The sequence below is a fragment of the Homo sapiens genome, chromosome 1, assembly GCF_000001405.40.
Source record: "Homo sapiens chromosome 1, GRCh38.p14 Primary Assembly".
Taxonomy (NCBI): domain Eukaryota; kingdom Metazoa; phylum Chordata; class Mammalia; order Primates; family Hominidae; genus Homo; species Homo sapiens.
Window position 1 is genome coordinate 96,714,553 of NC_000001.11, and position 2,108 is coordinate 96,716,660.

At 36.8% G+C, this 2,108-nt stretch overlaps 2 annotated features.

Moving 5' to 3' along the window:
- Window positions 252-1,180: an enhancer, noted in NCBI's record as "OCT4-NANOG-H3K27ac hESC enhancer chr1:97180360-97181288 (GRCh37/hg19 assembly coordinates)". NCBI's record gives its function as "activates a minimal SCP1, AML or CMV promoter by ChIP-STARR-seq in naive and primed H9 embryonic stem cells {active_cell/tissue: H9 hESC(naive and primed)}" and the evidence as "EXISTENCE:reporter gene assay evidence [ECO:0000049][PMID:30033119]".
- Window positions 1,181-2,108: an enhancer, noted in NCBI's record as "OCT4-NANOG-H3K27ac hESC enhancer chr1:97181289-97182216 (GRCh37/hg19 assembly coordinates)". NCBI's record gives its function as "activates a minimal SCP1, AML or CMV promoter by ChIP-STARR-seq in naive and primed H9 embryonic stem cells {active_cell/tissue: H9 hESC(naive and primed)}" and the evidence as "EXISTENCE:reporter gene assay evidence [ECO:0000049][PMID:30033119]".

The following is a 2,108-nucleotide window of genomic DNA, read 5'->3' on the forward strand; positions in this document are numbered from 1 at the left end:
CTCCTGGGTTCAAGTGATTCTCCTGCCTCAGCCTCCCTAGTAGCTGGGATTACAGGTGCCCACCACCACACCCAGCTAATTTTTTGTATTTTTAGTAGAGACAGGGTTTCACTATGTTGGTCAGGCTGGTCTAGAACTCCTGACCTCAGGTGATCCACCTGCTTCAGCCATCCAAAGTGCTGGGATTACAGGCGTGAGCCACCATGCCTGGCTCAACTACAGTATTTTTATTTGCAAATCACTTTCTTTGTTTTCATCTATGTGGCTGTTTGCATAAGGCCACATACATTATGATGTGGATTGTATAAGATTTTTGTATTTCATAGTTGATAATATTACAAAGCAAAATGATGTTGTTTCCTGGGTATTTAGCATTTTTTCCCATCTTTTACTATTCTGTGTATTTTTCTTTACTTTTCTCATTTTCTCCCCTAGTTTAGGTCTTTATGTATGATCATTCTAAAAACTGCTGATCCACTCAAACTATTGTGTTCTCTTCCAAGAATAATCTTTATTATGTGCGCAATATAGGAAGGACAGCCAGCTATGCTGAGCTTTTTTCAGTAAACATGGAGATAAGCAGTCACTATTGCTGAATACAAAAGAGGCAATGTTTGTGCTAAAACGGTCCTTTGCTCACTGCCATCTAATTCCTTCTCTTTTTTAATGTAAAATTTATTTTTATCAAAGTAACACATGCCCATAGCTTAAAAAGTAAATAGTTTTGGAAGATTTACATGACATTTTTAAACCAAAAGTATCTGAGACAGGTTTCAATCAATTTAGAAGTTTATTTTGCCAAGGATAAGGACATGTCTATGACAGCCTCAGGAGGTTCTGAGAACATGTGCCCAATGTGGTCAGGCTACAGCTTGTTTTTATATGTTTTAGGGAGACATAAGATATCAATTAATACATGTTCTATCTGAAAAGGCAGGATAATTCAAAGCAGGGGCTTCCAGGTCATAGGTGGATTCAAAGATTTGGTGATTGGCAATTAGTTGAAAGAGTTTATCTAAAGACCTGGAATCAATAGAAGGGAGGGTCTGGTTTAAGATAAGGGCTTGTGGAAACCAAAGTTTTTATTATGCAGATGAAGCTTCCAGGTAGCAGGTTTTAGAGAGAATAGATTGTGTTAAGATCTCTGTTTTGATGTTAATGCTGGTCAGCTCCTGAAGACAGGATTCTGAAGACAGGAGGGTATAGTGAGGCCACCCATTCCCATCAGGGCCTGAACACGTGTTTTGGGTTAACTTTGGAATGCCATTGGCCAAGAGGAGGAGTCCATTCAGTTGGAGGGGAGGGGCTTCAAATTTTATTTTTGGCTTACAACAAAAACAAAATTCAAAAGTATACTCTTCTTTTTATTTCTCATCCTGTGGTGCGATGCCCCAGAAGCATAAGAGATAGAAGAGTATACTTTTCAATTCTCCCTAATCATCGTGATATTTACCTCCATACTTCTGAAAAATATGTTTGTGTGCCATTTTCTCACCTATTAATTCTAGACATATTCTGCTGACTTCCTACTTTTGAAGATGAGAGTTTATAACCCTACCACATACACATATGTGCACATCCGTATTTCTCTTCCTTCTCTGACAAAATTGTTTCACAATCTTAATTTTATTAGTATTCAGTGCTTATATTATTGTGAAGATGTAATTACTTTCACAAACCGAGCCACAGAGTGTGCTATAATTATATTTCTTTACAACTTTTTCCTTACCCTGTAGTTAATTTAAAACATATTTCATGTGTTTTTGATTAATGCTTTCCCTAAGCTTACCAATAGCACCACAAACCTGTACTAAACATATACAGACATATTATATTTTATCTATAAAAGTTCCATATTTTTCTCAGATACGTCTTTCCTTGAGCCTTCTGGTCTCATATTCCATTGTAACCATAGGACTGCTGCATAGCTGTTGAAGCTTCTTTCACCAACATACAATTTTCTTCTCTTCTATAGTGGATCTCTGGTTTCCTGGGTACAACATCTTCTTTCCTGGTGCATTAGCCTCATTGGGAAATACATCTTCCAGAAAATTCCAAATAAAAAAAATCCATAGAAAACAAATTTTTGACATTTGGTGTATCTAGAT